The sequence below is a fragment of the Homo sapiens genome, chromosome 11 (genome assembly GCF_000001405.40).
Source record: "Homo sapiens chromosome 11, GRCh38.p14 Primary Assembly".
Lineage (NCBI taxonomy): Eukaryota > Metazoa > Chordata > Mammalia > Primates > Hominidae > Homo > Homo sapiens.
In genome coordinates this window covers 20,104,531-20,115,737 of record NC_000011.10, presented here as the reverse complement: position 1 = coordinate 20,115,737, position 11,207 = coordinate 20,104,531, and the positions used below count along the sequence as shown (strand labels likewise).

At 48.7% G+C, this 11,207-nt stretch overlaps 1 protein-coding gene across 50 annotated transcripts in view, besides 4 other annotated features; it reads right to left on the bottom strand.

Moving 5' to 3' along the window:
* Positions 1-11,207, bottom strand: part of NAV2 (neuron navigator 2) — a 776,366-nt gene that overhangs the window by 5,864 nt on the left and 759,295 nt on the right. For all 50 annotated transcript variants that reach the window (XM_017018520.3, XM_047427824.1, XM_017018522.2 and 47 more), the window contains 3 exons: positions 10,011-10,207; positions 7,956-8,074; positions 943-1,146 (listed from right to left, as the gene is read on the bottom strand). In XM_017018520.3, the coding sequence (XP_016874009.1) occupies positions 943-1,146; positions 7,956-8,074; positions 10,011-10,207 (520 nt within the window). The remainder of the gene's footprint in view (positions 1-942; positions 1,147-7,955; positions 8,075-10,010; positions 10,208-11,207) is intronic.
* Positions 560-1,059: an enhancer, noted in NCBI's record as "H3K4me1 hESC enhancer chr11:20136225-20136724 (GRCh37/hg19 assembly coordinates)". NCBI's record gives its function as "activates a minimal SCP1, AML or CMV promoter by ChIP-STARR-seq in naive H9 embryonic stem cells {active_cell/tissue: H9 hESC(naive)}" and the evidence as "EXISTENCE:reporter gene assay evidence [ECO:0000049][PMID:30033119]".
* Positions 1,060-1,561: an enhancer, noted in NCBI's record as "H3K4me1 hESC enhancer chr11:20135723-20136224 (GRCh37/hg19 assembly coordinates)". NCBI's record gives its function as "activates a minimal SCP1, AML or CMV promoter by ChIP-STARR-seq in naive H9 embryonic stem cells {active_cell/tissue: H9 hESC(naive)}" and the evidence as "EXISTENCE:reporter gene assay evidence [ECO:0000049][PMID:30033119]".
* Positions 2,366-3,265: an enhancer, noted in NCBI's record as "H3K27ac-H3K4me1 hESC enhancer chr11:20134019-20134918 (GRCh37/hg19 assembly coordinates)". NCBI's record gives its function as "activates a minimal SCP1, AML or CMV promoter by ChIP-STARR-seq in naive H9 embryonic stem cells {active_cell/tissue: H9 hESC(naive)}" and the evidence as "EXISTENCE:reporter gene assay evidence [ECO:0000049][PMID:30033119]".
* Positions 3,266-4,165: an enhancer, noted in NCBI's record as "H3K27ac-H3K4me1 hESC enhancer chr11:20133119-20134018 (GRCh37/hg19 assembly coordinates)". NCBI's record gives its function as "activates a minimal SCP1, AML or CMV promoter by ChIP-STARR-seq in primed H9 embryonic stem cells {active_cell/tissue: H9 hESC(primed)}" and the evidence as "EXISTENCE:reporter gene assay evidence [ECO:0000049][PMID:30033119]".

Genomic DNA, 11,207 nt, shown 5'->3' with positions numbered 1-11,207 from the left:
TTTTGTTACGTTGCCCAGGCTGTAACTGCCCACCAAAAGTGCTGGGACTACAGGCATGAGCCACCACACCCAGCCCGGGTGCTTTTTTTTTTTTTTTTTTTTTTTTGAGACGGAGTCTTGCTCTGTTGCCCAGGCTGGAGTGCAGTGGCGCGATCTCGTCTCACTGCAAGCTCCACCTCCCGGGTTCACGCCATTCTCCTGCCTCAGCCTCCCGAGTAGCTGGGACTACAGGTGCCTGCCACCACGCCCAGCTAAATTTTTATATTTTTAGTAGAGACGGTGTTTCACCATGTTAGCCAGGATGGTCTCGATCTCCTGACCTCGATCCACCCGCCTTGGCCTCTCAAAGTGCTGGGATTACAGGTGTGAGCCACCCCAGCCTGGGTGCTTCTTAAAGGGCCTTTATTGTTTTAGCAACAGCCGAATAAATAAGAAGCTTAAACAGTGTGAAAGACTTAGCTCATCTCAATGGCCATGGGACTCATATTCAGGCCTCCTCCCCTCTGTGAGTCCCTCCTGCCCTCAGACCTCTCCCTGTTTACCCTATCATTTGCCTTGGGCTTCTGGTCCTTAGCAATCTCTTCCTCTGCTCTGCTATCGGTAGGAGAGATCAAAGTAATAGGATAGTAGGTAATAGAGGTGGCATCCCAAATCAGAGGGCAAAGTGTTGTATAGAGACAGTAGGTATAAGAACATTTAAGGGGAAAAATCAATTCTTAATCTGTTATCTAATACCAGAAAAAAATTTCAGAGGAGAAGTTTTTAGTGAAAAACTAAAACCATGGAAGAAAATATTGGCAAAAATGGCCCAGTCATTTGGGTCCAGCCTTCCAAAGCAAGGCTGGATTTAGTCACCTTTGTATTTCCAGAGGCTCTGCATCATACCCAACACACAGTAAGTGCTAAAGGAATGCTGAGCTGCTCTGGTGGCTGAGGACTCACCAGCGGGTCACCTTCAGCATCACTGGGGGGCATCTGCTTGCTTGTCGATCCCTCCCGAGGCATGGAGTAGCCGTCGAAGCCGACATCCTCAGGCCGTAACTGCAGCAGGGGAGGCCACTCGTGCTGTTGTGGGCTGGCTGCCCATGGATATGTGTCCATCACCCACTTGGCAGGATCCTCCCAGGGGGCGCGCCTTCCATAGAGCTGAAAACAGGCAAAGAAGGAACAGTCTGGAAGTGGCCCAGATCTCTCTCGTAGCCCCAGTTTTGCAGCTTTCTGAAAAACTCCCCAAATCCAGCATCATGCCTTCCCTGATGGAGTAATTCCACTTCTATTCCATGCTCAGGAAGTCATCCAAGATGCAGACAGTTCGAGGTGCTAAGGCTGAAGGCAGCATGACCCAGTGGTCTAGAATACAGGCTTTGGAGTCAGGCTGATCTAGGTTCATGTCTCAGCTCTGCCACTGACTCACCGTGTGACCCTAAACTCTGAGCCTTGATAATCCAATTTGAAAAACTGGCTTTTGGGGAAAAACAATGACCTGATTTGAAGCATTTGCCAACATCCATGGTACAATCCCACCATGACTGACTTCAAACCACTGACATGATGTCACTGGATGTGGAGTTGGAAAAAGGTGCTATCAGCTTTCAAGAGCCAGCTCTAGTACTCCATTTGGTGCATCTACCCAAAGAATACTGCCTACATACCTTGGGTTCTGGGCACCAACACTGCAGGCAGAGGTCACAATGGCCCTGGCTTAATATTTACTTTGATTTTGTATTGAGACAAGGTTTTGCAATGTTGCTCAGGCTGGAGTATAGTGGCATGATCATGCTCCCTGTGGCCTCAATCTCCCGGGCTCAAGTGATGCTCCTGCCTCAGCCTCCCAAGTAGCTGAGACTACTTGTGTGCCACCATGTCTGGCTAATTTTTAAAACATTTTTTTTTAAGAGATGGGATCTCTCTATATTGCCCAGGCTGGTCTTGAACTTCTGGGCTCAAACAATCCTCGTGCCTTGGTCTCCCAAAGGTCTGGGATTATAGGTGTGAGCCACTGTGCTGGGCTGGTCCTGGCTCAATAAAACCCCGTTTCTTGAAATGGGTCTGACTCTTACAGCCCCTATATAGAAGTGCTACTCCTTTTCAAAACAGCAAATTGCTAACAGAGGTTGCACATAGGCAGTGAAATTATGAGGGCTTCTCTCTTGTCATGTATTTCTCAAAATTCCATAATAGCTAATTGGCTCTTAAAACAGTAAACTATATTATCACTTAATTTTATGGTAAGATCAACACCATGCCTCCAAGCTCCTTTTCTTAAGCCTCAATTATCTAATGGTAAAATGATTTTAGTGACCATTACTAGCAATTTCAAGAAATACATACATTCTTTGAAGAACAGAAACCTAGACTGGCCCAACACGAGGCTCTGTATATTACACAGCTAGGTATAGGCTTTATATTTTTCTCCTTTAACACCACCACATCTTCCAGCTGACTTTGTGCCAGGTACCGTGAGAAATGCTTTACGAATACCTTGCTTAACCACCGTGCAACTCCAAGAGGAAGTACTAATATCCGTGATTTACAGATGAGGAAATAGGCCCAGGGAGGAGAGAAGCCAGAATTGGAAACTAAGTATGTTCAATTCCACGGCCCACTAGTTTGGCCCACTTGGTCCATGTGGCAGGACATGCTCACAGCCAGGGCAGTGTCACCTGTAGTTCTGCAGAGAGGACTCTGCAGGGGGCCTTAGAGCACAGAGACTAAAGAGTCCTGTGGGCCACCACGGCTGCAGTGTGTCTCTAGGGTGGCCACGGCTGTCTGTCTGTCTGTCTGCTCTCCCTGCCCTCCCGCGAATCCTGCCGTGGAGAGGGTACAGAGAGCAAGGTGCTGACAACAGTGTGAAGCTGAGCTCTGAACCAACAAAACCACGTCTTTCCAAGGGGAAGGAGCTGGGGCCACCTAGCCCCACCCCCTCATTTACCAGATGGGCCAATCAAGGCCTGAAGAGCAGAGCCCGCTGAGAAAGGCTGTCAGGCAGAGCCCGATTTGAACCTAGAACCTCAGCTTCCTTTGCCAGGCCTTTTTCCTCTCCACCCCTCCTGACTGACACCACCTTGAACAACTCTGAGTCATGTGAGCCACGTGACTCAGCCAGACCCAGAGCAGGGAGACGCGGAGCAGGCTGTTGGCCAGATATCAGTGTGACAGCCTGCTGGGCTCATTGTCCCTGCCAGCAGTGCCCATACTCCCATGACTGTCTGTGCCATCTGGGACCTCTAGCTATGATTTCTGTCAGGGAAGCTGCCCACCCTGCCCCTTCTCAGATGGGCCCATCTCTCTGTATTCGTGGCTATCACCCCCTCTGCTTAAGTCATGCAGCCTCCTATGACTCATTGCCTTCCCAGACACCAGCACTCCTCCCGTCCTGCGCTCTGGCCCAGTCTGTTGCTAAGTCTTCCTTAACCTGGGGCAGGAGTGAGTCTCAGGCCTAGGAGCTCAGTCTGGCATTTGAAAAGCAATTATTGTGTGAGCAGGAAGGAATCGTGTGAGGGGCATGAGTTTGTGTGTATGTGGGCATGTGTCTCAGGGCAGAAGAGAATGCAAAAGTGGGATATTTGGAGCAGAAGAAGGCTGCTCCACATTAGAACCATTTGTGCAATTTTGAGAAGTTTCTCCCTCTGAGGTCTTTCCCTGTGGAAACTGGGCTGCATTTCCCAAGCCAGACCTCACATGAGGCTGAACCAAACCCTCACAGCTACTGCTTCTGTGACAGCTACTGCTTCTGTCTCCACTCTACAGCCTGGATGAGGACATGCTCAGGGCTGCAGAATCACAGAGGCTAGAACTCCTGGAGCTGAACATGTCCTCAGAGATTATCTGGCACCATGGTTTTCAAACATTTGCTCTTCATCTCTGGTCCTCAACTGAGTAGACTGGGGAACTTTTGGGCTTCATAGAAACCAGCCTGAAAAAACACTCTTCTAGTCCAAACTTGTCAATTTATAGATGGAGAACCCAAGGCCAAGAGACGGGAGACCTGTCTGGGGTCTCAGAGCAGGCTGGATAATCCGATAAATGGCCCCACACTGACTCTGCACTGTTCCTGTTCCCTGCAGGCACCAAGCCTGCCCTGGGCACAGAGAAAGGCCTTTTGAGTTACCCTGCAGACTTTAGACACTTTGGCAAGTGTTTCCAATGACAGCTCCAAAGGGAAGCAGGGCTCAGGACTGAGTCATAAGACAAATGCACATTAGGTACATGTTAACATCATCTGCAAGAACAGAAAATATTTTTACAAGCCTCCTCACTTGTCACTGGACATGTTCAAGTCTGGGTGATGAATGGCTGGGTAAGTACTGTGGTAAGCAAAGGAAACATCATAAAGCTCCTCAGCTCCACTGCAGGCCCCGAGGGCAGCAGCAGAGACATCTGGACAGACAGACACAGAGGGGAGGACATTCACTTTCCCTAAGGCAGGAGAAGGAACCTGGCATCCCCACTGGGTCAGGAAAAATGGGAGCAGGACAACAGGGAGCTGAGACATTGAAAACTAAAACCTGGGCCACTGTGAGCCTTCTGACTGTGGGATGCAGGGGGCTCCTGGGAGGGTGTGCACATCACAGAAGGATGCATCGGCTGCACATTCAGGAAGGTCCTCCAAGCAGTTCCACAAGTGCATCTGCACTTACACGCCCTTGCAGTGCTACCTTATGCTCACTAGAGGGCGATATCATGTTTCCTCCTGGCACGGGTGTACCTGTGGGAGGGGCTACCTGGAAGCCATCCTCATCCCCTGATGACAGCAGGTCTCCTTACGTTCCCACCAAATCCATACTACCATGGGCAGCGCTCCATCCCAGCTCCTGGTGCACGGTAGCCCTGTCAGAACCCATTCTAGGGACTCCACCTGTTCTCAGCCTAGAACCTCACTCTGAACTGCAATGTGCTCACTTCATGGCCACTTACCCGGGTTAGGTGAGGGGCAGGTGACCCTAGAGTAGGTGTGGACTCAAAGTAACACAAAGGAGAGTAGGGAATTTTAATTTTTTAAAAATAAAGGAATCCTTTTGTCAAATGAAATCATAGGGAGAACTCCACTCTATAAAATTCAGTATTTGGTTCCCCAAGCCACCTGTGGCTTCTCAGTGGAGTGATGGGTGTCCTCAGGATAGCCTGAAAATAACAGAAGTAGCCAAGGGGCCAGCTAGTCCTGGGCACCAACACGCACTCCACCATACCCTGCTGAGTGGACATGGTACGGGGCAAGAACGTCCGTGAGCCTCAGTTTCCTCATCTGTTAAGAGACTCACTGGGCTGTCAGAACTAAATGAGATCATGCACGTCGGGCCCCTAATGGTGCCTGTCAAGTAGCAGGCCCTCAAAAAACATCACCAAATGTTCCTTCAAAACCAGAGGCATGAAGAACACAGCAAGCTTCCGCAGGAATCCGCAGTCTATACAGTCTCCTGGGCTGATCAGGATGGCGAGGTCACAAGTTTGGGGCATAGTGACTCACTTTTGAGCCACTTAGTGGGATGCAAACTCTGGCCGCCTCCCTTTGCAGCTCCACACTCTTGAAAGACTAACCTTCAAATGACCTCTAAGCACAAAGCAGTGATGACTTTTCCTGCCTCACACTGAACTAGTGAGTCTTGAGATGGGAGCATGTCTCTGCTCCCTGCCCCAGATGGCTGGGGCCTCACTTTCCCATGGTGGGAAGGACGCCCAATGATCCTCTATGATCAGCTCCATCAGCAACCTCTCCTAGGTGGGAAGGGGAGTTCCTTTCCAGCCATGCCCAGAAAGCCTTCCTTTAGGTTCAGGTCCAAAGGAGCAGGGCCTTGGCACCGCCAACCACTGTTAACCAGTGAGGGGCCTGCTCAAGTGCAGCGCAAGGCTGGAGCACAGACAGGCTCCCTGCTTCCTGGTTAATGCCTTCCAGGGCAGGGGAGGCCTTTATTCAGCAGAGCCCGTGAGTTCTTCCCAGTGACTCTGAGGTTCACTCCCCTTCCTACACCAGAAGACCACATTTAGAGCAAAGATGAAGCAAATGGGAGAAGGTGAGGTGGAATCAGGGGCAAACAGTCCACCTCATCTGCCTGCAATTCTCTTTACTTTTCTTAAGCAGCTTGGGTTTCCCAGAGGTGCTGGGCATATCACACTCCCTGGAAGCCATCAATGAGAACAGAGGAGAGAAGCTTCTGAAATGAGACAGACTGCAAGAATCCAGCAGGTAGGAGATGCTTCCACTGGTCCCAAAATAGGAATGACTGAGTGGTTGTTTGGGTCTGTGGTCTTAACAAAACCATTTGATTAAGGACTAAATTATGGTCAATTTATCCACGCCAGTGACTTTACCTACCTAGGGAGGTTCTACTGCAAAGATCTAAAATCATTCATACCTTCTTGTATGAAAGCAACAGTTGATAGAGCTCTGCTAACCAATGATTTTAGGCTGGCCAAAAGTTGCCTAATTTCTTGCTTTTTTCCTGCTTTCACAATACACTTTATTAAATATGCTGACTTGAATTTGCAATGCGTATGCTCCAGTTTAGTGAAATATATCACAAGAGGCAAAATACTTTCCTTTTCAAGCTCCCTTTGTCCTGAATGCCTCTGAAGACCATCATTGCTGCTATAAATCATAGATAGAAAATAGTTGAATACTCCTCAGTTCAGCCCTACCAGAAATGACAAACACTGACTGCAGCCATTAACTTGCATTTGTCACACACGTGCCTGTGGGTGCACACCAGTCCCTGCACCCTCCACAGGCCTACGATAGCATCTTGTGTCTCCCACTGTCCAGTACCAAGGAAACAAAAAAACTCTTGGAAACCTGGCTACCAAACTGGTTTCTGGATTATTCAGCCACATGTGATGTCTGCTGATTACTAACTGTGAGTGTTAAAAGCCTACAGAACTTCTTAGGCTGCCTCCAGGCTCAACAATAAAACTATCCCAAGTTCCAAATTAATGGTAAGCTTCCAGTTAAACCCTGGGTCAAGTGAGAAGTAAAGAATTTTTGCTTTCCGGGCTGGGCACAGTGGCTCATGCCTGTAATCCCAGTACTTTGGGAGGCCAAGGTGGGTGAATTGCTTGAGGCCAGAAGTTCAAGACCAGCCTGGCCAACATGGTGAAACACCGTATCTACTAAAATCCAAAAAAAAAAAAAAAAAAGCCAGGTGTGGTAGCACACGCCTGTAATCCCAGCTACTTGGGAGGCTGAGGCACGAGAACTGCTTGAACCCAGGAGGTGGAGGTTGCAGTGAGCTGAGATTGTGCCACTGTACTCCAGTCTGGGTGACAGAACAAGACTCTGTCTAAAAAAAAATAAAAAGAATTTGTGCTTTCCAACTGCTGTCAGGCAGGAGGAACTGGCAGCCTTATGGGCCCCGAAGTTCCTAAGAGGGTAGGGGTGCTGATGTCAGGGAAAGAATGCCACCAGCCTCAGGGCTAAGAACCTGGAATTTGACCCAGAAGGCATGGATTCAAATCCCAGACCTTTCAAGCTTCCCTTTTATAACCTTAAGCACATCATTTATTCTCTTTGAGCCTCATTTTTTCTCTTAAAAATGGAGTAAAAAACCAAATTTCTGTCCAAGTTCCAGGACTAATCCAAGGCTTAACCCAAAAGGCAGATAGGAGAATATTTTGCAAACTGTGAAGTACTACACATGTGTATGGTTCTACTTCTCAGGCACTCACGATGCTGAGCACTTCCATTTCATCCTTGCAACAAACTCTTTGTGGCAGAATATCAATGAGGGCTCTGAGGCACAGAAAGGCTAACCAGCTGGCCTGGGGTCACAATGCTAATGGGTGGAAGAGCCAGGACTTGCAGCCAGGTGTGTCCCTACACTGGACTACACTGATGAACTCCCAGGTGAGGGGTTGTCACCCCATGTCAGTCAGATTCCTGGAGGAGGAGATAAAGACAACTCATCTGGTCACCAGAACAGTCCCCCTCAGCTTCAAGGAAGCCAGCAGGGGTGTCTTCTCACCTGGAGTCCTTCTCTGACGGCTTCCAGGAGATAGGGGATAATGGAATAGTTCCACAAGTCGGTGAACCACACTCTCGAGCCGTCCACATCGATGGGGCATGACAGGAAGAGCCGGGGGCCTGGAGACCACAGTGAAAATACATTAGCACTCAAATGGGCATGGGTGATGGGGCATCAGGTGAAGCCATGGTCCGAGCACCCTTCACAGGAGGGACCCTAGACGTTCTGAGGGATGGCAGGGCTGAGGCCTGAACGCAGGTATACTAGCCCTGGATGGTGGCCACAGAGAAGGACACTCTGATCCCTGATTCCACCTGGGGGTCTCCCTCCTCCAGGAAAGGCTTTATGGGGAAGATGCTCACTGTGGCATCACTAATCTTGATTTTTAAAAATGGAAGCCCATGCGCAGTGGCTCACGCCTATAATCCCAGCACTTTGGGAGGCTGAGGCGGGTGGATCACAAGGTCAGGAGATCGAGACCATCCTGGCTAACACGGTGAAACACCGTATCTACTAAAAATACAAAAAAAAAAAAAAACTAGCCAGGCGTGGTGGTGGGTGCCTGTAGTCCCAGCTACTCGGGAGGCTGAGGCAGGAGAATGGCGTGAACCTGGGAGGCAGAGCTTGCAGTGAGCCGAGATTGCGCCACTGCACTCCAGCCTGGGCAACAGAGCGAGACTCCGTCCTAAAAAAAAAAAAAAAAAAAAAAAAAAAAAAAAAAAAAATGGAAGCCCATGACTGCAAGTCCAAAAGAACAGAAACAGTTAAGCAAATGAGGGTACATCTACATTTGATCATTTTGTAGCCTTTAAAAATAATTTTTAAAACTGAGTAATTGGCTGGGCATGGTGGCTCACACCTGTAATCCCAGCACTTTGGGAGGCCGAGGCCGGTGGAACACCTGAGGTCAGGAGTTCGAGATCAGCCTAGCCAACATGAAGAAACCCCTTCTCTACTAAAAAATACAAAAAAATTAGCTGGGTGTGGTGGTGGGCACCTGTAATCCCAGCTACTTGGGAGGCCAAGGCAGGAGAATCACTTGAACCTGGGAGGCAGAGGTTGCAGTGAGCCAAGATCACACCATTGCACTCCAGCCTGGGCAACAAGAGCAAAACTCTGTCTCAAAAAACAAAAACAAAAACAAAAACAAAAACAACAACTGAGTAGCAACAAAGAATGCTCATGAGATAGTGCTAAATGAAAAAGGATTTTTTTTTTTTTTTTTTTTGGAGTCTCACTCTGTTCCCCAGGCTGGAGTGCAATGGCGCAATCTCGGCTCACAGCAGCCTCCGCCTCCTGGGTTCAAGCGATTCTCCTGCCTCAGCCTCCTGAGTAGCTGGGATTACAGGTGCATGCCACCACACCCAGCTAATTTTTTGTATTTTTAGTAGAGACAGGGTTTCACCATGTTGGCCAGGCTGGTTTCGAACTCTTAACTTGAGGTGATCCATATGCCTTGGCCTCCCAAAGTGCTGAGATTACAGGCATGAGCCACCATGCCCGGCCAAAAGGAACATGTTATATGTATGCTATGATTGCCACTTCATAAAGCATATATATATATATATATATATATATATATATATATATATATATATACACACACATATATATATATATATATATACACACACACACATATGAACAAGGACAGAAAAACTAAGCTCAAATTAAAATTATGTCAAGATGGTGGGATGGTTAGTGATCTTTTTTCTCTGTTCTAAATGTCCAGCTTTCAGAAATGCTGATAAAATTTTATTTTTCAAGCAAAGCCAATCCCAGAGGGTAGCTTCAGCTTGGGGGAACCTTGAGGTGGGAGCTCTTTAGTGAGCCAGCAGTTTCTACATTGGGCCAGGCTGGACACATCTCTCTTCTGCAGACCACTAGCAATTTGGGGTCTACCTGGTCTGTGACTGTCCCTCTGCCCCACTTTCTATCTTTATGGACAGTCCAGCTTCTGCTGACTGTGCCTGCAAAGTGCTGTCCTGGCCAGGGCCCAGAGGATGGGCACCTGAGGATGCCAGCCCGCCCCCCTGACCCCAGTCTCCCACCCACCGATGGTGACGTCCGAGGAACTGTGAGCCTCCAGGAAGCGGTTGAGGTGATGCCAGACCTTGGGAATCCAGTCAATGATTTTTACCAGCTCCATATTGCGCACCCGCCCACTGATCTCTGTTTCCATGAGCTTCCTCCTCAGGAATCGGCCAAGGAAACCCTTCACAGGCTCCGTGTGGTTGGCACAAAGCACCCATCTGGAGGAAGTCAGAAACACTTTTCAAGCTGATGATGGTGATCCAAATGATGGCTGACCTCAGGAACCAAAGCACGTTAGAAACAGAAGGTGTATATGCTAATGCAACAAATTGGATTAGCTATGCACCGAACACTCTTCTAAACATTGTAACTATGTATTAACTCACAGTTCCTGATACCAACCCTCTAACATAGATATTATCTCCACCTCCGTTTTACGGACAGAAATGCTGAGGAACAGACAGGTCATGTAACTTTTCCAGGATCAAACAGCTAGTTAATTGAAGAGCTAAGATGAGAACCAAGAAGCCTGGCTCCAGAGGCTAGGCTCTAACCACTGAGACAAACTGCCTCTTGTGCTTGATGTCAGGCCCGGTGCTAGGCTATGGAACTATCACTATGACTAAGACACCGTCCTGGTTCCCAGGAGCTCACAGTCTGGTGGAGGAGGCAGACAGGCAAAGAAAGAAATGAAATATGATGAAGCCTAAGGGAATCAGGGAAGGCTCCTTAGAGGAGGGGATGTCTGGGCTGAGACTGGACAGATAATGGGCAGCAACATAAGGAAAGGCAGGAGCAGTTGTTGGGGTCAGGAGTGGGGTGATGCTGCAGCCTTTGCAAAGGCATGGGAAATAGCATGGATGTTTGGGGAAACTACCAGAGGTTTAGTGTAGCTGAAGTTCATACTTGACCTGCCAACCAACGGAGTCTGGATTTCATCCTGCAGGCCATAGGGAGCTGGAGCTACTGAAGGACTTTAAGCACGAGAGTTCTATGGTCAGATGTGTACTCTAGAATGCTCACTCTGGTCTGGCTGCCACAGTGCAGAGGATTGGCTACAGAGTGCAGGGGGAAAGCTGCAAGCAGACGTACCAGCTAGGTGATGGCAATGGTGTGCTGGGTGATGATGGGGCAGTGATAGGGGGAAAGAGGAGGACGATGGACTTGAGGGATAATTAGGGGAAAGCATGAACAAGACCAGGACAGCCTAAATGCAGA